Here is a 21,441-nt window from a genome sequence, read left to right on the forward strand (position 1 = left end):
TGATGGGTAAAGCCTGGTGCTTAGGAGAGTGGTCTCTGGAGCCAGGTTCACCAAGAGTTCGAACCCAGGCTCTGGTACTTCCTGGCTGCTGGAGCCTTGGCCAAGTAGCTTTGTCCTCCTGAAACTCTATTTCCTCTCCTGTAAAATGATCGATAACAATATTGTGTGGTATGGTGAGGATTAAAACATTTAGCAAGGTGCAGGCCACATAGTATGTACCCTGTCAGTTTTGTATGTTACTGTTACTATTGCATTAGTCCGTTTTCACATTGCTGATAAAGACATACCCAAGACTGGGTAATTTATAAAGAAAAAGAGATTTGATGGACTCACAGTTCCACGTGGCTGGGGAGGCCTCACCATCATGGTGGAAGGCAAAAGGCGCATCTTACGTGGTGGCCGACAGGAGAGAATGAGACGAGAGAAAGGGGAAACCCCTTATAAAACCATCGGATCTCATGAGACTTATTCACTACCATGAGAACAGAATAGAGGAAACCGCCCCCATGATTCAATTATCTCCCACCAGGTCCCTCCCACAACACATGGAAATTATGGGAGCTACCATTCAAGAGGAGATTTGGGTGGGAACACAGCCAAACCATATGAACTCTCATTATTATTATACTTCAGCAAAAGGCAAAGGTTAACGTAGGTGAGAGTTTAGGTCCCTTCTGGTCCTAAGATCTATGCACCTGAGGATTGAAGTGCTTCTCTCTCTCAAAGCCCCTATGCTACTTTCGGTCCCCACCATACAATTACATTTCCTCAAAATTCCTGCTCCGCTGTTCCTCAGCTTTCAACTCAGCCATTTCTCAATAAAGCTTTGAAAAAGTCAGAATTCTTTCTCTCTTTCTCTCTCTCCCTCCCCCAGTTTGGCCTCACCAAGTTCTAAAACATGCCCAGATCTGGCCCCTGCCTTGCACCCCAGCCTCGCTCCATGCTGCTCTGTCCTTTCTACCATGTCTCACCAGGCTCTTTCCCTCTCAGCCCTCCACCCCTGGGGTCCACTTTCGTCTCCTCTCCCCATGCTGAGGCCTCCCATTTTCTCTTAGCTTAGAGGCCAGCTCCAGAGCTGGCCCCCACCCCTCCCCTCTGTGCTCTGCCTCAGCACCTCATTTATCTCCTTCATGCACTTGGTACCATTTGTGACAATTTTGCCCTTTATTTCTGTCTCCCTCTCCACCATTTGTTTCTTGCAGTGCTTTTACATTGAGCTCTGGAATAAACAGATATCACTGATGGAGCATCTCCTATGTGCCAGACCCGGTGCTAAGATTTAACCCTGGAAAAACATCTTTATTCAACAAATACTTTTTTGAGCACATATGAGCTACACACTGGAAAGTCCCAATACTAAGGGCCTGGAGAGCCCAGAATAGGCAGGAGAACAGGCGATGCCCGTGGCGGGCTAGGTGGTTCGGTGGGGAGGGCACAGGGTGCTATAAGGTCTCATTCCCCTCATTTAACCAAAGAGGAAATTGGGACTTTGAGAAAGGAGGAGGCTTGTCAGGGGCAGTTCTCAAGCTGTGGCCCATGAACCTCGGGGGTCCCTGAGACCTTTTCAGGGATCCATGAGGGCCTCCCTTTCCCAACTACATGATTTGTATGAGGCTGGGGTTTTTCATACCTACAACTAGGCAACTAAACAGTGTATTTGGAGAGACTGAATGCAGAAGTAGACATGAGAATGTAACCTTCCATTAAGCCTGATATTAAAGAGATCAGTGAAAATGTAAAATGATGACAATCTTCTCAATTTATTTTTGTCTTAGAAAATATAGTTATTTTTAAAGTGTGATTTTTATTACCATGGAATGGAGTTTTATATTATTTTAAATGAATTAATAAATACATTTTAAAAATTCTGCTTTAATTTCTAATACAGCAAATATCGATAAATAACCCACATAAACAAAAGTTCTTTGGAGTCCTCAGTAATTTCCAGGAGTATAAAGAGGTCCTAAGGCAAAAAAAAAAAAAAAAATTACTAATTGGGAGACACAAGTGTCAGAATATACAGTAATTGTTCAGTAATATTGCTGTAAATTAATTAATAGGATTGCCTAGTCACAACAGCAAAGGCATGGAATCAACCCAGATGCCCATCAGTGGTGGATAGGATAAAGAAAATGTGGTCCATATACACCATGGAATACTATGCAGCCATAAAAAAGAACAAAATCATGTCCTTTGCAGCAACATGGATGCAGCTGGACATCATTATCCTAAGTGAATTAACACAGAAACAGAAAACCAACCACTCATGTTCCCACTTATGAGTGACAGCTAAACACTGGGTACTCGTGGACATAAAGGTGGGAACAATAAATGCTACGGATTCCAAAAACGGGGAAGGAGGCAGGGGAAAGGGGTTGAAAAATTACCTGTGGGGTACTATGTTCACTACTTGGGCAACGGGATCATTAGAAACCCAAACCTTAGCACCATGCAGTATATCCATGTAATAAACCGGCACACATACCCCCCGAATTTAAATTAAAAAAAAATTACATTAAAAGATAGGAGTACCTCCTTTACACCACCTGAATTATCATGGCACATAAATCTCACACCCTATTTGCCAAGGCCATTCGTTCCTAGCTGTTTTACAGGTAGGTTAGCTTTCTCAATGCAAGTCTGTGGGACGGATGGAGAAAAATTCCCCGAGCCCTTTGATCCTGCCCCAGCTGGGCCCCGCCGCGCTGAGCCTTGGGCGCGCCCCCTGCTGCCCGCGGCCGGAGCCGTTCGCCACACCCCCGTGTTTATGTCGGTCCACGGGGGTTGCCTGTCCCTTTAATTGGCATGTACCAAGTCCTTCCAGGTCACATTTCCTCCCTACGTCCCAGCCGTTTGGACTCACTGGCCAAAAGTCCAAGAGGACGGAATGTGGAGACAGTGTTGTATTTTTGCGGGGAGTTCTAGGCCGACCGGGAGCGAGAGAACGCTCGGGGGCGAAGCGCGCCATTGCGGCCCTCCCCGCCGCCTGCGGTAGTCCAGTCCCAAGATGGCGGCCACCATGAAGAAGGCGGTGAGTGGGGAGCTCGGGGCTCTGGATGCTCGGGCGGCGCCGGATCTCGGCCGCTGGGGCCCGGGCGCGGGATGCTGGGGGTGCGCAGCTCCGAAGCCCGGCGTGGGACCCGAGGCCGAGGCCGAGGCCCTGAGAGCGGTCCCGCGGCAAGGCCTGCTCGCGCCTGGCGCCCTGAGCGTTTTCCTAGGCACCTGGCCAGCCGAGGCGGGGCGCCGGGGCTGGGGCCGGGAGCCTCGAAGGACGCAGGTCCGCCTCCCGCGATGCCGAGGGTGCCCCCGGGGAGTCTGAGGAACCTGCAGCCCCGGCCTCGCCCCTGAGGTGTGGGAAGCCGAAGGTCCCGTTGAGTGTGGTTGGCCTTGACTCGGGCGTTGCACCGGCATGATCGCATTAGCCTCACTGGTTATGGGTAGCTGCTGCTGGGAGCGTGGTTACGGGTGAGGAAACTGAGGCCCAGAGATGGGGAGTCACCTGCCCGAGGTTACGCAGCTCATAACGGGGACAGCAGGTTCCTGCATCCCCAGATTAGCAGGCCCCAGAGACCCTGTGTCCAACCTGGAGCTGCCCATTTCCACGCTTGATGCCCCTGAGTCCTTCAGGCTAAAACCAGTATTTATTGAGAATGGAAGATGTGCCGGGCCCAGCAGCCGGCCGTTTATCTGTTATCCTCCCCGCAACTCAGCAAGTGCAATGGGTTCCTCTCCACTTTGCAGGTAGAGAAACTTAGACACAGAGCAGTTAGAGGCCCTAAAGTGACTCAGCTAGTAAGAAGCAGAGCTGGAGTTCAAACTCAGGTTTGTTTTTGTTTTTCTCAAAGCACGCCTGTGTAACCACTAAGCCGGCTAAACTTCCATGTGGGGTTTTTAATCCCGTGAGCCTTCCCAGATGTGTAAAGATAGTCAGATAGAAGAAAAAGAAAATTGGAGAGGGGGAAGGAGATAACGGCTGATAATTTGGGGAGCTTTACAGTGTGCTAGGTACAGCTGTAAGTTGTTTTGCGTGTATTGTTTATTTTATGTTCTTTGAGGGAGATACTGTTTTTATCCTTATTTAACAATGAGAAAACAGGCGCGGAGGCAAAGCTAGCATTTAAACACAGGCATTCTGACTCCGGAGTCTGTGTTTTAAACTGCTATAGGGGGTCTTTGATGAGAATCTCTTGGCTGGAGGGATTTGCGTTCATTCCACTTTTAAGACCACATTAGAACTTCTTTGCTTTGCCCCTATCCAGTACCACATAGTCTATGCCATCTGTGCCTGGTGTAGGGTGACCCATTGCCCCCTTTTATATGAAATTGAGGGACTGCCAAAAATGGGAAAGCCCCAGCCAACTCAGGATGTGTTGCTCACCCTACTATTCTGCCATCCAAAAATTCTTACTGTGTCCCAGAGTAGGGTCTAGGGCCATGGTGATTCAAAAAAGTATGAAACTTTGTGAGATTCACTTCACCTCTAGTTTGTTAAATTGGGCCCTCTGGTGTTAGGTATGGCCTTTAATTCCTTGGAAGATACTAGTTGTGGTTCACTCCGTTTTATAGGTATGGAAACTGAAGTGCAGAGAGGTGAAGTAAATGGTAGAAGAGGAAATGGCAGAAGAATGATTTGAACCTTGGATTTTGATTGCAAAATTTCTAATTACCAACTTTTTTTTTCCTTTCATTGATTCAGTAAATTTTCGGGGGCACGTAATATGGCGTAGTCTCAGTTTTAAGTGGAGACAACTGTGGTGACCAGTGAGAAAGCTCTTCTCCCCTTAATCTCATAGCCCCAAAGAACGTATGTTCCAGGGCAGAGCAGGCATTACTCAGATAGTCAGACAGAAAACTAGTTTCTCTGATGAGAACTGTGAAGGAAAAGTGCTTATGAAATGAGGGCCAAAATGAGGTCTGTTTTGAGATCAGAGAAGACTTTCCTGGGAAAGTGCCATTTAAGTTGAGATCTGTGAGATTATGTAAGGAAAGGAAGGGAGAGTTGGATAGGGAGCGAAGCATTCTAGAGAGGAGTATCTGCAGAGACTCTGAGTGCATTTAATACAAGGAAGGCCCGATGGCAGATAATCAGGGGAAGAGAGTTTGAGCCATGATGGGAAAAGAACTTATAGAGGGGTAGGTGGTGGCCAAAATATAAAGGAGCTTCTTTAACTTTGGAGGCTTTAAGAGTCACATGATAGATGCAGTGTCCTCCTGTAGATGTTTCCAGTGTTAGGAACAATTCCCGATAGATTAGCTTGCATGTACACTTTTCCCCTTTGCCCTCACTAGGAGAAAACATATGTGTATGCCAGTGAGTGAGAGTGAAACAGAGAGAGATAGCCCTTTGAGTTTAATTAAAAGCAAATCGTACAATCTGGAGTACTTTACGTTTGTAACACATCGTATCTCTCAACTGGTCATGACTTTGCTGGGGAGAGTGTTTAGATGAGATGATTCAGTCCTCTCCTCTCTAGAGTTCTGCCTTCTAAGATCCAGTTCTTGACCATAAGGAGATCTGCACTTTGATTTCTGTTCATTATCCTATATACAAATGTCCTTTCCTCAGAGAGGCTACCTTTGACCTTTATCTAAAGAAGCCTCCTTCACTCCCCAGGCCCCCAAAACTTTCTACTCCTAAGCTGTTTTATTTTCATCATCACGTTTGTCACCATTGAACATTATCTTGTTCATCTTGTTTTTTGCTCTCTTCCTCCACCAGGATGTATGCTTGCCATTTGTATTCATGAAAGTGGGATAGTGGCTCTCTTGTCACAGTGCATGGCGTATAGGAAACAGTAATTGTTAAATAAACTACTGCATGGATGAAAGTTGAATACAAAAATTAGCTGGGCATGATGGCGTTTGCCTATAATCCCAGCTACTCGGGAGGCTGAGGCACGAGAATCGCTTGAACCTGGGAGGCAGAGGTCGCAGTGAGCCAAGATCACACCACTGCACTCCAGCCTGGCGATAGAGCAAGACTCGTCTCAAAAACAAAAAAACAAACAAAGAAGGTTGAATACAAATACAAAGCAAAAGTTTACATCATACAGACTTGGTAGATATGTTTTTAAAAGTAAAAATAAAAGACTGAAATTGGCCAGAATTTATTTCTAGGGACCCAGCTGTCAGTGCAGACTCCGTGTAATACCTAGACTTGGTGTGAGGCATGACTGAGTATGGTTCAGTTTCCTCCTCTAATCCCGTAAGATATTAGTTCTCAAGAAAAGAGCCCAGGGAATTTTAATTTTTACTTTGGATCCCGAGCAGGCATATTTCTCTTTGGCCTAGCAGAATTTCTTTCTAGATCTGGATCTGTTCTTTGTAATGATTTTTGATAAACAATATTCAGGATGTAAAATGCTTAGCTATCATTTGACTGACTCCATCATCAGGCTTTCTCCTACATGTTCATTTTATCAACCCTATAAGGTAGGAACTAGCCTCTCCATTTTACAGATGAGAAACCTGAGGTGGTTCCAAAGAATTGGGTAATTTGCCCAAGGTTCCTGTTTGCTTGGATTGGATTGCAGCCTGACTCTTCCCACCACTCTGTGTGCTGCCTCAGATACTATAGGATATGAGTTCTTCCTAGAGTTCTTCTGACTTTGAGAGTAGCTACAGCTGGTTTCCCTGAAGGCAGGAGTTCCTAACCTTTTGGGGTTGTGGATCCCTTTGAGAATCTGGTGAAAGCTATGAAGACCTTCCAGAAGGATGCACATACTATACATGCCATTTTGCATACAGTCTCTGGGTATATCGACCTGTCAATGTCCATTGACCACCCCCACCCCCCAGTTAAGAATTACCCACTTCTGGCTGGGCGTGGTGGCTCAAGCCTGTAATCCCAGCACTTTGGGAGGCCGAGGCTGGTGGATCACCTGAGGTTAGGAGTTCAAGACCAGCCTGGCCAACATGGTGAAACCCCTTCTCTACTAAAAATACGAAAATTAGCCGGACATGGTGGCATGTGCATGTAATCTCAGCTACTTGGGAGGCTGAGGCAGGAGAATGGCTTGAACCCGGGAAGTGGAGGTTGCAGTGAGCCAAGATCATGCTACTGCACTTCAGCCTGGGCGACAGAGTGAGACTCTGTCTCACCAAAAAAAAAAAAAAATTACCCACTTCTTGCCAAAATGCAGCTTCAAGAAATGTAGGAATGTTCTAGGACAGTGAGACTAAAACAGAAGCCTCTGTTAGCCATCAAAGGCACTGACATCTTACTGTCTGCTGTAAATGGCACTCCACTGGGCGGCATGCAGTATATTTGACTCACACATCAACTTTAGCCCTTAACCCCAGTGGGAAAACCACTGTAAAGATCTGGATACCAGGGGCCACATGTGTGCTGATGCCTGTGGTTTGGTGGGGCTACAACAGGAAATTCCTGCTTTGGAAAGACAGAAAGCAGATAGCCAAATTCTCTCTACCACATTTTGGAAACTATGTGTTTGAGTCTGATCAAGCATGATTTAGATTCAAATTCAGAAACCATGTATTAGCCTTAGTTATGTGCCAGGCAGTCCTGCACTGGATCCGTTCATGTGAATGGCTCTGTTGAGCCCTCACCAAGACAAATACATCTATAAATGCCTGTTGGGGGTTCAATATTTAAACAAAATGGCATATACTCTTCAGGCAAACAGGAACTCTTCAGAATTCTCTGCTGTCTATTTGCGTAGGGAATTGACAGTTCTCACTTAGGCAAAATGACTTGTGTGCCAAGATATAGACTTTGGTTTCTTGAGCGTAGCTCAGTGTTCCCCAACTTCCATATTCATCAAAATTATGCATACGGTTGAACACTCAAAGCTAGACATAGTGTGATGTAAAGGATTTTTTCAGGCTATCTTCTGGGTTGTTGAGGTGGGGCATAATGCATGTGAAATTGTTTCTTGGAATGAGAGCCTAACAAAGGGGAGGACTGTGTTATATTCCGACCACTGAGCTCTGTATTGCTTGACACTGCCTTTCAACCTCTGAGAAATAAAAGTTCACATACCTTAAGTCGATGGTCATGAGAGACCAGGTCAGGGATGGAGTGTGAATGTTGTGAGCTCATTACTGTTACTGCAAAAGAGCCAAAAGTAGTGTTTCAGTATGAACTATTTTTATACACACACAAATATCTTTTCTTCTTTAAACTAGAATCAGGTGCTCTGGTTTTCATTTTATAAATGGAAGGGAAACCCTAAGGAGAGTCTGGTTTTATGTTTTAGCTTTATTTTTTAAAAATATATGGTACCTCCTTGAGAATCTGATGAAAGCAGACATCCTGCTGCCTCTTCCAGATGTGCCTAAGCCTGTGTACACACTCACACACACACGTGCACACTCACAGAGACGCACGTTCACATTCAGTTACCGAGAACTCATGGACCTGTCTGACCTCTGAAGCCAGTCTGCCTGGGTTGAAATCAAGTTCCACCACCTACTGGCTCTGTGGCTTTGGCCATATTATATAAAGTGTACCTCAGTTTCTCAATCTGTAAAATAGTGCTGGTGATCCTCCCTAATAAGATGGATTGCAGGATTAGCAGAGATAATAAAGTACTTAGGAAGTTTTGGCACATAGTAAATTCAATCAGTGTTAGCTATTTTTTTATTATTTCATTGGTACTTTATGTTATCCAAGTACTCTTTATTTGCAAATTTGTAAATTTAATCACATTAAATATTAATTTTTAAATACTAAACATTCAATTTTCATCATTTTTTAGTAAAGTAGACCTTATTAAGACATTTAAACAGGTCCTACATTATAAACATAATTTTTGCTGTGAATGGAATAGAGCCACTGAAATGTACAGTGACCCTTTAGCCAGTAAGCTCATGCAAGTTTTAGCTCTAAGAAAAAAAAAACACTACTCTGAGACATTTACCAATATATTTGACCATGTAACTTTTTGTTTCCTGGGTCATCTTAATGAAAGAATGCTCCAACTTGAGAAATTCTGCTCTGTGCCAAAAGTTGGCTTTTTTTCTTTCCTTTTAAAAGGACTTATTAATTGTTCTTTATGTTTGCAATATGTTTATAGCTTAGGAATTATTTTATGGAGTATCAGAAAAGGTTATAGATTTACAAACAAACCTTAAGCTTGTGGAGCAAAAAATAAGGCATTTGTTATGTTCTGTACTTCTTGTGATTCTTGACTATATGAGTGCAAATGGCTTATTGAGTTATTGTTGAGAAATATAAAAAGCTAACTGATAACTTCTCCGTTAAAATTTTACAAAAACTTAAACACTTCTTTCAGGCTGCAGAAGATGTCAATGTTACTTTCGAAGATCAACAAAAGATAAACAAATTTGCACGGAATACAAGTAGAATCACAGAGCTGAAGGAAGAAATAGAAGTAAAAAAGGTATTGAAAATAATTATTAGAAGAATAAAATTTTTTTATACTATAGCTACTAAAACTGAACTCAGTTAACAAGTGAATATATATTTCTCTGGGCTGTTTGTTGCAGATGAATGACGCGATCCACTCTAGTTAAGCAGAAAGTCATTTTTTTTTTAAGGGATATGCGATAACTTACAGAGTTGTTGAGGAGCTTGAGTCTAGACCGAGGTTCCAGGAACAAGTCTCGGAGAACTTGGCTGGCGGTGGAACAGCTGTTGCCTCCACTGATCCCAGAGTCAGCTGTCTTCCCAATGAGGAAGCCACCCTTGCAGACTTAGGAACACCAAGCTGCTGCTGCCAGTGCCACCTACCCCAGTAAATCTGGGGCCTGTGTCCAGCCGTCCCCCTTGAGTTGAAATCCAGCTCAAATGCATTTGATTGGTGGAATTGAAGTTATTATCACTTATGCATGCTGGCAGAACTTTCATTACCCGCATGATTTACTTACACCCTATCAGCAAGCAAGGCTGAGAAATGTAGGCTGGTTTTTTTGGTTTTGTTTTTGTAGGAAGGCAGAATTCACAAAGTCAAAAATTGTTAAAATAGAAGAAATTTTGAGTGACCATGTGCCTGCTGTCCACCACAGGGCGCTTATTGTCCAGAGGACAAAGCTTTAGGTAGCTCTAAGTGCTTGCTTGTGAAATGTCTTCTAAAAAGTTACAAATTAAGGTCTTATTCTAATGTGGTAATAATACCTTTGTGAGAGGGTCCCTCAGAGAGTTGCTGTCCCCAAATTACAATTGGCCTTTAGCTTCTATCAGAGAACTTTGAGTACATTTTCTTTGCCATTTTGCATTTATAGAAACAACTCCAAAACCTAGAAGATGCTTGTGATGACATCATGCTTGCAGATGATGATTGCTTAATGATACCTTATCAAATTGGTGATGTCTTCATTAGCCATTCTCAAGAAGAAACGCAAGAAATGTTAGAAGAAGCAAAGGTATGTTAAAGGTTAATTCTGAAATTAGAATTTATATCACTATAAAGAACATGTAATTATAGATGTAGGGAAATAGTAGATGCTAGCTATAGCTAATATTTACTGCCTTGTTATGTCCCAGGCATGCTCCGAATGCTTTGCCAGCAGGATTTTGTTGAATCATAACGATGACCTGTTATCCCAATTTAGGGACAAAGAATAGAGGCTTAGAGAGGTTATGGGATTTATTCAAAGTGACACATAGACAGTGGTCTTCTGACTCCAGAACCTTGCTCAAAACTAAAAGTATTTAGAAGGTATAGCATATATTGAAGCAGAAAAGAAAAATCCCCTGTAATTCTGCTATGCAGAGGTAACCATTCATAGTGAACATTTTCCTGTATTTCTTTTATGTTCTCTCTGCCTCTCTCCGTGTAGTTTGCTTCCCAGTTGGGACAATTAATGTTCCAGGAGGAGCATTTTTGCTGGTTTCATTGAATGTTTGTTTGTCCAGCAGATACTCATTGGAAGCCTGCTCTGAGCCTGGCACACAGGCCTTTAAAAACATCGTTTTTGAAGACTGTTTAATATCATGTTGATGGTTATCAATTGGGGTCACGGGTCTTATTGTTAGCATTAATTTGTTTCCAATATTTTGCTGTACTAATGTTACTGTGAGCATTCTTCTACATAAATCTTTGTTCACATTTAGAAAATTGTTTTGAGGAAATAATTAGAGAAATATAATTACTGGGTCAGTCAGCATATGAGTTCTCTGATAATATCTGAGACATTTGATACATGGTATGAAATTTTCAGTTCACATGCCTTCTTACTATTTGGGAGGGACAGCCACGTTGTTTGTCTATGAGAAGCAGATGGCAATTAAACCTTTCCTAATGCTTTTGCTAATTAACCTGATTGCTTAAAATGATAGTCTCTCTTCAAATGTCATAAAAAGCAAAACTTCGTATGAATGAAACCCACATTTAGTAAGTCTTCAGAAGAACTATCACTCCTGGGTCTTTCCATGCATAAATCTTATATGTCTCCCTTATGTTTAAATCTTTTCTTCTTGGTCAAATTTTGTGATTTTTGTTCTTTTTATTTGTTTAACCATTTAAAAAACATTTTTATTGGAAGTATTCCCAGATAGCTTATGGTTTTTGTGGCTATTGTGAATCCCCTGCCCCATACACAGATAGCTACTGAACTTTTATTTTATTTTATTTATTTATTTATTTATTTATTTTTTGAGATGGAGTCTTGCCCTGTCGCCCAGGCTGGAGTGCAATGGCGCAATCTCGGCTCACTGCAACGTCTGCCTCCTGGGTTCAAACAATTCTCCTGCCTCAGCCTCCCGAGTAGCTGGGATTACAGGCGCCCACCACCACGCCCAGCTAATTTTTGTACTTTTGGTAGAGACAGGGTTTCACCATGTTGGGCAGACTGGTCTCGAACTCCTGACCTCGTGCTCGTGATCCACCCGCCTCAGCCTCCCAAAGTGCTGGGATTACAGGCGTGAGCCACCACACCCGGCTGAACCTTTCTTTTTTTACTCATTCTAGAATTCTAGAATGAATGGAGTGCTTACTCTGTATCAGGTTCTGCCATGTACTAGGGATAATTGGGGACAACAAAACCTGCCTGGCCCCTGCCTGCATGGAGCATATAGTCTAGATGGAAAGAAAAAAAAGTAAACAAAACTGATAATGAGTAGAAAGTGATATGAGGATAGAGGTGGCTTTAAGAACACAGGAAGAGGAATCTACACTAGTCTGGACATCAAGGGTCAGGGAAGGGCTCCCAGGGAAAGTGATGGGATAACAGCTGAGGAATAAGTGGCTATTAGCCAGAAAGGGGCGGCGGGGGGCGGGGGGTTCTAGTCGTGAGAAGCAACATGTGTGAACGGCCATAGGATGACGGTGGTGCAAACATAGACCTGCAAGAAGATGTATTTGCTGGAGATTGGGAGCACCTGAAATTGTGGCCACATCTTGGAGAACTCCAGTCAGTTGAGTTGAAGAAATTGTACTTTGTCTTAGCAGGGGTCAGCAAACTTTCTGTGAAGGGCCAGAAGTAAATACGTTAGGTTTTGTGGGCTGCACAGCCTCTGCCATAATTACTATGAAAGCAAGATGAGTGAATCTGCGTGGCTGTCTTCCAATAAAACTTGACAAAAACAAGCTTCAGGCTAGATTGGGCCTGTGGGCTATAGTTTGCCCACTCCCGTCCCAGAGCAAAGAGGAGCCTTCAGAGATTTTTGGAAAAGAGAGAGATGATTGGACTTGCGATATTAAAATGACTTTCTAGTGTCTTATTTTACTTATTAACCAGGTTTTCTCGGTATAGAAATTTAGAATTTATCCCTTTCTAGTAGCCATATGTCTTATTTTTGTTTCTTGTTTTGTAACAGTGATTCTCAAACTTAGCATGCGTGAGAATCACAGTCACCACAGGGCTTGTTAAAAATCCAGGTTGCTGGGCCCGACCCAAAGACGATCTTTCAGGTGGGCTGAGGTAGGGCCCCAGAATGTGTATTTCTAACAAGTTCCCAGGTGATTTTGTCCCTGACACTGGTCTCGGGGCCACCGTTTGAGAACCATTGGCTAGATTTCTAAAACGGCAACACTGTCAGTATTAGATATTCTTTGGTTTCTAATGTTAGTGGGTATTTGGTTTGTGTGATTTCATATTTTTTTGTCATGTTTAGGAAAAAAAATTGTTTTGATCCTAGCCAGGAAGGAACTTAATGGCTTTTTTTTTTTTTTTTAAAACAAAGAGTATATGTTAAAATTTATTTAATCTATTAATGAGGGAAGCATTAACATTACAAAACTGGTTTTAGAATTGAAGAGGCTAAGTATCTATAGATAGGTAGGTAGAAAGAATTGTCCTTTGGAATTGTATTTTCTTTTTTTTAATTATAAATTGACAATTTATAATTGTATAAATTTATGGTGTAAAACGGGATGTTATAATTTATTAATACAATATGGAATAATTAAATCAAGATAGTTAACATGTCTATCACCTCAAATACTTAGAAAATATCTGAGTTTTCACTGGGCAAAGCTGCTCTTTCTTACAAATGAGGCACTTTTTACCACTCTTTTCCAAAGTTTAGCTCCAGAGGCCTCAAAGTTAGTGAAAATTTCTGCCAGATTTGGATCATAAGTTGTTCTTCTTAATTATTGGTGGTTGGTGGTGTGAGTTTCTATCATTTCCTGTAGTCTCATAGTTATTTTTGTTGTTGGAAAAAGCTGGGTTAGAAGCCAGCAGGCCCAGGATAAACTATTTATAGAAGTCTTTGTATTTGGTTCTTTGTTAGGAAATAATTTAGACAGTAATTTTTTACTATTTTTTAGATCAGCAGAAACTGAGAAAACAAACTTGATTTATTCTGTGATAAGCAGATATGGACCATGAATTAAAAATGCCCACATTCAGACATTTAGATCTAATTATCAGTGTTACTTAGCTGCCTGTCCAAGTTTAGAAGGTTCTTGACCTAAAATTCTTCCCAAATATTATTTCAGACACAGATGCTCAGAAATCATCCTATTGAATAGAATTAATTTAAAATATTTTTTTTCCAGAAAAATTTGCAAGAAGAAATTGACGCCTTAGAATCCAGAGTGGAATCAATTCAGCGAGTGTTAGCAGATTTGAAAGTTCAGTTGTATGCAAAATTCGGGAGCAACATAAACCTTGAAGCTGATGAAAGTTAAACATTTTATAATACTTTTTTTATTTGTTTAATAAACTTGAATATTGTTTAAAATGATAATTTTCCTTCTTCAAATGACATGGAAAGCAAAACTTTCTTTTTTAAAAATTTTCATTTATTTAATGGAAACTTGCCCATTTTCACATGTCTGCTTATTTATTTTATATTTTTAAAAGAAGACAGTATTCACCTATGTATTTTGCATAACGATTATATCAAGTCTAGGGGCTTCATGTCATGTTATTAAAATCAGTTAAGCAATCTTTTATGTTTCTATATTATTTAGAATATTTGTTGTTGCAATTTTCACATAAGAAAATTTAACAGTTGTGTCATGTTGTTTCTGTCTGATTTTAATTGCTGTCTAATGACGGGGAAAGCACGATGAAAAGATGTACAATCCTGCATCCTTGCTTATTTCACAACTAAAGCTTTGTCATAGACTTCAAAATATATATGTATATATTTTATTTAAATATATGTTACATATTATATTTAAACATACATATTTAACATTTTTTACATATCTATCAATATCAGAGATTTGGGTAAAAGAATGGGTAATGTTTAAACATGTGGAGGCATGTGGAGCTTTATACAAACAGGGCAGAACCACAGAAGAACGTTTTAGAAACCAAGAGATGTGCAGAAAGAAATGTTTAGTGTTTTTTCGTTTTAAATTTTAGATTTTATTTTAGTGCTTTGTAATTAATTGGGGTTTATATTGATAAAGATGTGGAAGTTAAACAGCTATGTATGTAAAAGTAAGGCTTATTTCTTAAATAAAGGATGCATTTCTTCCCACTCCCCCACAAAAGACAAACATTTTGGGATTTGGGAGACCTAAATGTATTAACTTTCCAGCAGATGGCACTGATGTGCCAAATGTGAATGGAAGGATCCTAACACAACAATGAGATTGTTAGGATTAAATATACATAATTTTAGAGGAAATATTTTTAATTTTTAAGGCTAAACTGCATATGTATTTTTTGGTTCAGTGTTTATAAACATGAATTCAGGCTTAAAGATAGATGATTATATAATTTCTAAAATTCTTAATACTATAAAGGCAGTTTTTTCTTTTCTTTTTTTTTTTTGAGATGGCATCTCACTCTGTTGTCTAGGCTGGAGTGCAGTGGTGCGATCTCGGCTCACCGCAACCTCCACTTCCTGGGTTCAAGCGATTCTGCCACCTTAGCTTCCAGAGTAGCTGGGATTACAGGGACTTGTCACCACTCCCAAATAATTGTATTTTTAGTAGAGACATGGTTTCACCATGTTGGCCAGGATGGTCTCCATCTCTTGATCTTGTGATCTGCCCGCCTCGGCTTCCCAAAGTGCTGGGATTACAGGCGAGCCATTGTGCCCGGCCAAAGGCAAATTTTTAAATTGCTGCAAAAATCTTCCCAAATAGTGATATTCCAGTTCTGGAAAATGACTCTTACCAAAAAAATGCAAGGATATTTTTTTCTTGCATCCATTTGGTTAATGTTCAGTTAGAGGATTGAGGCTGGGGAGGTAGTCAATCAAGTTGCAGCAGGAAATAAGATCAGAATAATTTGAGGAAACTCTCACCAAAGTTAACAATGGTGCCGGGTGACCACTAGGGTCCTTTTGGACCCTCAAAGGCCAGGGGAGAGAGCAACTGCCCACTTCACTCCCTGACCAGGGAAAGTTGCTTTTCATCTGGGGAGGAACACAGCCAGCCTGTGTCATACCTGCAGTGGTAGAGCCAGGGGACTAGACATCCTGACCTCATTCTCCCTCCAAAATCCACCTGTGTCCCACCATTGGCCAAACCCAACCAGAATCCGGAGGTGGTCCATAGAAGTCAGTCGCCTGCAGGGCCTGGGAGGGGTGGGGAATGGATAGGTCTGGGGATCCCCCAGTGGAAGATCTAGCATAGGAGGGCGACTAAAGTTTAGCCCTTTAGAAATGTTAACAACGAACACTCGCCTGACATGGGCCAAGAGACTGAACTATGTAATTCACTGGGACTTCAAATTTTGTCCTGCATATTATCAAGAAAACCTAATACAAAAACCCAAATATCTAACATCAGTGGGATGGAAGCGTGTGATGTTGCTAACTTCATTTTCTTAACTTACCTGTGACATTTTAGAACATTACAAATATTTGATTCCCATTTTAAGTTCATTTCTAAAGCCTTTGCTTATTTTTGTGAATAGTAACTTCCCTGGGCTAGCTGAAGACTGGGGAACAGCACGCGGTGCATCTGAAGGGAAAGGAAGAAATGTCAGCTTCAGCCAGTAGTTGCGACAGAGGGAAGTTTTGATCTGGATTTGTCACTAACTTCTTTTTTTTTTTTAAGCAGGAATCTTGATTTGCATGTGCAATCACTCTTTTTAGACTGGGCCACTATTTGTTTTTTAAAGCAGTGCAGGCTACACAACAGATAATTGCACAACAGATCTGGCCCTGAGACTGCCAGGTTGCAAAGTCAGGTGCATAATATGATACGTCATGTGCAGGCTTTTCACAGGAAGTGGTAGTAGAAGTCTTCTGAGCAGCTATGCTTTGCTGCTGACTGTAATGTTTCATTATCTCTCACATCCATTAATTTCTTTCCATCTCCACAACTACTGTGATCCTTGTCCAAGCCTTGTGAGCTCTAGTCAAAAGCATGGCTAAGTAAGGGAGCAAGGGGATGGAAAAGCCATTTGAGGTAGGGTTTCGACAGGGGGTCTCTAAAGGGTTTTGAATAGAAAGGAGCAGTACTTTTTAATAATTTGGCAGTTGTTAGGTGGGCTTTACTGTAGAAAGATGGAGGTAGAAATACTGGATGTTATTGTACCTTTTCTGGTGAGCCGAATCAGTTGGCTGAAGAAAAGATACACCAGGACTTAGAGAAGGGGTGAAATGAACAAATTTTGTCAATGATTGGAGAAACGAAGGTGAAGCTAGAAGGAGAAACCCAAAGAGAAGTTGGTTTTGAGCACAGGCCAGTACAGCTTGCAACAGGTTTTCTTTGGCTTCTATAGTTTAACAAAGAAAAAAAAAACCCTGAATTTGTTGCCACAATCAAATCCAGAGATCTCACATAAAAATGCACGGTTTGGCAACATTGAAACCATATTTCTAAAAGGCAGTCTTCAGCTGCTCATGCGTTAGACAAAGCAGGCTGTCTCCAGTTCACCCCAGTCCCCACCTAGCCCACTACCCTCATTTATATTACCTGCGTGGTGCCTGTCTGTATTTGCTTTGTAATCTCTGGATGCCTGCTGGTAGTGTAAGCAGAGGCAGGAAAGAAAGAAGTGTCTGGTTTGCAGGAAGCAGGGCAGAGGAGGGGGAGGGTGAGAGAAGGGCACGAGCTTGGCATCAGCACTTGGACTTCCCAGGGCATCAGCCACGTGGAGACATGTAATTGGCAACCGGAAAAGTGTGTTGAAGTTTAGGATATGCGGGACTAGGGAGGTATATTTGAGAACCCTTTTCATCCTACAGAAGGGCTTAACATTTAACGCACATAAAAATCACCCGGGGATTTTGTGACACTGCAGACTCTGGCTCCGTGTGGGCTCGGGCTGAGATGCTGCCTTTCTAACAAGCTCCCAGGTGACGCTGCTGCTGCTGAGCCCTGGTGCCATGCATTGGACAGCTAAGGTAGCTTGCCACGAAGAAGAGGACGTGGGGAAAATGCAGGTGGGAGGAAAAAGAAACAGCAAAGGAGACAGAAGCTGCAACGGTAATGGGAGATCCGCAAGAGTGTGGAATCCCAGAAGCCATGATGAGAATGCTGAAAGGAGGAGGGAGTGTGATCAACAGCAAATAGTACAGTGGCGAAGCCAATAAGAGCCGAGAAGATGGAGCTCTATTTGATGACTAAGAAGGCCCTTATTTCCTTCAAAAGAGTTAACCCACCCCTACTCCTTACACACAAACTGGAGCTCCAAACACCCTAGACCCCCTGACCCGAGGCCCCCACACCTGAGCCCCATACCCTTGAACCCCACACACACCTGAGCCCCACACACACCTGAGCCCCACACACACCTGAGCCCCACACACACCTGAGCCCCCCACACACCTAAGCCTCACACAAAGCTGAGTTCCCATAACCCTGAGCCCCGAAACCTAAGTTTCCCCACCCCTAAGACCCCCACATTTGAGCCCCACACACCCGAGTCCTACATATAACTGAGTCCCCATACACCTGAGGCCCCCAGACTGGAGCCCCCATATACTCAAGCCCTCCCACACACGAACTCCCCACAGAGCTGAGTCTCCATGTACCTGATCTCCCCACACCTGAGCTCCCATATACCTGAACCCTACACACACCTGAGACCCCCATACCTCAGCCCCTCCCACATCTGAGCCCACACACACCTGAGTTCCACACACACCTGAGGAATCAGCTCCCTCCCGTCAGGCACCAGTGATTCTCGGGGGTGATAATTGTGTGGTTTGAAAAAGCCTGAACACATTAGGTGCTGAGGATCAAAAATACATGAACAATTCTCTAGTTCAGCGTTTCTCCAGGTGTGAACATGGAACCAACATCACCTGGGAACTTGTTAGAAATGCCAAGTTTTTCACAGGACTAAACCCTGAAAAAAAATTCCCCCACTGGGCAATGATATTGAGCAACATAATGGTCATTGCCTTCAAAGATGACTTCATAGCAACTCTGCAGACAGGGCCCAGGGTTTTAACAAGCACTCCAGGTGATTCTGACTCAGCGAAAGAGCTGGTGGGGTTCAAATCATTCCATCTTTCTGGGATTGGAGGGCGTGGGGGTGGTGTTGGGGGAAGAGACTGGAGCACCAACTGAGAATTCTTAATGCAGATTATAGTGCTGGAGAGGGTAACAAAAGAGGGCAGCATCAAAGAGATTGACCCATCCAGTTTAGGGATCGAGGGTAGCTAGAAGCATTCCGGTTGCTGGTAGTAAACAGATTATAAAAGATTAAGCAGTAGGTGGTGTGAGACTTGGAGGCAGCAAGTGAAAAGTATTTTTACAAGAAAGTTAACAGTGGTGGGAAAGAGGCAGAGCATCACTTAATGTCACTGTGGTGCAGATGGAAAGGCTTTTTTTTTTTTTTTGGACTAGGGAACACATGAATACACACAGTAGATGAGAAGGAGCCAGGAAAGAAGATGATGGAAAAGTCAACGGACAAGAGGTAATAGTTGGAGCACATCTGTGAAAGAAAGGGGTGCTGTAGTGCTTATACAAACGGTAGACTGGGAAAACACAGAATTAGGTGTATATGTTACAAAAACTCCTAAGGAATAAATGGTAGAGAAAAAAATTTAGAATAGTGATGAACTGTAGGAGGAAGATATAGTTGGGGTAGGCAAAAACAGGAGGAGGCTTCAATAATCTTTATGTTCTATTTCTTAAGTTGGGTCATGGGTCCATAGTTATTGGTAGTCAATATGTTTATTATTAATTATTTTATGTACATGAAATTCTTCACAATAACAAGTTTTTTTATAAAGTTCTGTTGTGGCACAAACAAACTAGGAAAAATGTGCATTACTGTGGCATTGTTATTGATATTTCTGTATTGCATTCAACTACTTTTTTGTCATTTGACATAAAATGGATCATGGTGACTCTCCAGTTTTGTTTTGTTTTTTTCTTATAGAGACAGAGTCTTGCTCTGTCACCCAGGCTGGAGTGCAGAGGCATGATGTTGGCTCAGTGCCAACCTCCGCCGCCCGGGTTCAAGTGATTCTGTTGCCTCAGCCTCCCGAATAGCTGGGACTACGGGCCCATGCCACCATGTCCTGCTAACTTTTTTGTATTTTTAGTAGAGATGGGGTCTCGCCATGTTGGCCAGGCTGGTCTCAAACTCCTGACCTCAGGTGATCTGCCCACTTCGGCCTCCGAAAGTGCTGGGATTACAGGTGTGAGCCACGGCGCCCAGCTGACTCTCCAGTTTTAAAAGTAGAAAATCAGCAACAACCAAAAAGTTAAAAGTTGGCTTACAGATTTGGTATAGAAAATTGTTTGTGCAACAGTCATTAGCATCCGTTTGTATGTAGAAATTTCTGGTAACTAAGTTCTTTGATCCTCCATTCTGGTATCTAGGAATAACTCTAGTGATGGCGACGTTAACAATTAGCTTTGAGTGCTTATTGTAGGCTGTCAGTCTTCTGAATTTTTTTTATATATTCCTTCCTCACAAGAGCCCTTTAAAGTAGATTCTTTACCATCCCTCATTGTGCAGAAGTAGAGGAAGGTTTAGAGACGTTAACCTGCCCCAAGTTTTGCAGCTTACTTAGCAAATGGGTGGTTAATGAATGCACAAGTTGTACTTTTGAAATTTATTTTGTTAGATGATTTTATTTGTGTTCTGTTACTTATCCAAAGGAATTTCAGATCGGTTCTCATATAGACATATAAAAGTATATGTGTGTATATATAAAAATGTAAATATAGCATTAATAGATTAGGAAAAAAGAAAGGGAGAATAAGTTGGTCACAGAGTCCACCTTTCAGATTGATGTACTCTGAACCTCTATGTAGCTAAGACAGAGAAGGAAAAATGATGAGTAATACCACATTGGAAAGGGTGTTATATATGAATATCTCAGGAGACAAAACATCTTTCAGAGGTCTAAACCTTAAAAAAAATTTTCCCTCATTAGGCATTGACTTTGAGCAATGTATCAGATGCTAACTTTAACAAAGACTTCAAAGCAAAGGCAAGAGCAAAATTCATATGGCCAATTCTTGTAGCAATTAAACAGTTAACCTAAATCCAAGGGAAATAATTTAGAAAGAGGCCGATAATACGCAGCCAACATCCACAGATGTACCCTGAGCTAGGCATTAGATATCTTATGTACCCTGAGCTAGGCATTAGGTAAGTATTCACATACATTAATCATTACAAGGTACAAACTAGTATTATCATCATGTCCATTTACAGATGAGGAAACAGAAGCCCAGACCAAAGTTCCAAGGCCCCTAAGTGAGGAGCCAGAACTCAAACCCAAACAGTGGGGCTTCCAATCTGTCCTCCCAACCATTCTATTGCAATATTGAAGAATCTTCTTACAATCTTCCCAGATCCAAGGACAGTCCATAGGTCACTTCAAACTCAGAATTTCTCTTCAAATAGGAATTAGAGAGCAGAATAATGATGGCCTTTGTCTATGAATTAAATTAAAAGACCTTCTTCCTAGGAACCCATTTTAATTCAGTCCTATAAGATAGCAAAGGTATCAGATTATACCCACAGAACACCTGGAATTCTGAACTTGACCACTGTGCACAATAATATTGGGGGCCAGGCTTGGTGAGCCACCATACACCATATGGAGTATGGAGGCTAGGGGTGGGTAGATCACTTGAGTTTAGGAGCTCAAGACCAGCCTGGGCAACATGGTGAAGACTTATCTGTACA

General features: G+C 42.1%; 1 protein-coding gene and 1 long non-coding RNA gene across 6 annotated transcripts, besides 6 other annotated features; one reads left to right on the forward strand and one right to left on the reverse strand.

Moving 5' to 3' along the window:
* Positions 314-543: an enhancer, noted in NCBI's record as "active region_18140". NCBI's record gives its function as "activates an Ori minimal core promoter by ATAC-STARR-seq in GM12878 lymphoblastoid cells {active_cell/tissue: GM12878}" and the evidence as "EXISTENCE:reporter gene assay evidence [ECO:0000049][PMID:35858748]".
* On the reverse strand, positions 1,853-2,948 carry LOC124904937 (uncharacterized). Of its 2 annotated transcripts, none has more exons than XR_007067669.1 (2): positions 2,864-2,948; positions 1,853-1,963 (listed from the first exon to the last, which is right to left on the reverse strand). It is a non-coding gene; the product is annotated as an uncharacterized LOC124904937 (long non-coding RNA). The 2 variants fall into 2 exon arrangements; XR_007067668.1 differs by lacking the exon at positions 2,864-2,948 and adding an exon at positions 2,533-2,715.
* Positions 2,391-3,208: an enhancer, noted in NCBI's record as "NANOG-H3K27ac-H3K4me1 hESC enhancer chr20:52824023-52824840 (GRCh37/hg19 assembly coordinates)". NCBI's record gives its function as "activates a minimal SCP1, AML or CMV promoter by ChIP-STARR-seq in naive H9 embryonic stem cells {active_cell/tissue: H9 hESC(naive)}" and the evidence as "EXISTENCE:reporter gene assay evidence [ECO:0000049][PMID:30033119]".
* Positions 2,391-4,025: a biological region, named in NCBI's record as "NANOG-H3K27ac-H3K4me1 hESC enhancers GRCh37_chr20:52824023-52824840 and GRCh37_chr20:52824841-52825657".
* Positions 2,749-3,068: an enhancer, noted in NCBI's record as "active region_18141". NCBI's record gives its function as "activates an Ori minimal core promoter by ATAC-STARR-seq in GM12878 lymphoblastoid cells {active_cell/tissue: GM12878}" and the evidence as "EXISTENCE:reporter gene assay evidence [ECO:0000049][PMID:35858748]".
* PFDN4 (prefoldin subunit 4) lies at positions 2,994-14,868 on the forward strand. Of its 4 annotated transcripts, none has more exons than XM_047440198.1 (4): positions 2,994-3,277; positions 9,258-9,365; positions 10,207-10,347; positions 13,926-14,868. In XM_047440198.1, exons 1-4 carry the CDS (start codon positions 3,008-3,010, stop codon positions 14,055-14,057), a joined length of 651 nt encoding a protein of 216 aa, XP_047296154.1. In that variant the 5' UTR covers positions 2,994-3,007; the 3' UTR covers positions 14,058-14,868. The 4 variants fall into 4 exon arrangements, with proteins under 4 accessions (XP_047296154.1, NP_002614.2, XP_047296155.1 ...); NM_002623.4 differs by having other exon boundaries at positions 2,994-3,031; XM_017027879.2 differs by lacking the exon at positions 2,994-3,277 and adding an exon at positions 3,309-3,822.
* Positions 3,059-3,328: a silencer, noted in NCBI's record as "silent region_13054". NCBI's record gives its function as "represses an Ori minimal core promoter by ATAC-STARR-seq in GM12878 lymphoblastoid cells {active_cell/tissue: GM12878}" and the evidence as "EXISTENCE:reporter gene assay evidence [ECO:0000049][PMID:35858748]".
* Positions 3,209-4,025: an enhancer, noted in NCBI's record as "NANOG-H3K27ac-H3K4me1 hESC enhancer chr20:52824841-52825657 (GRCh37/hg19 assembly coordinates)". NCBI's record gives its function as "activates a minimal SCP1, AML or CMV promoter by ChIP-STARR-seq in naive H9 embryonic stem cells {active_cell/tissue: H9 hESC(naive)}" and the evidence as "EXISTENCE:reporter gene assay evidence [ECO:0000049][PMID:30033119]".
* Positions 14,869-21,441: the final 6,573 nt, after the last annotated feature.

The sequence above is a fragment of the Homo sapiens genome, chromosome 20 (assembly GCF_000001405.40).
Source record: "Homo sapiens chromosome 20, GRCh38.p14 Primary Assembly".
NCBI lineage: Eukaryota > Metazoa > Chordata > Mammalia > Primates > Hominidae > Homo > Homo sapiens.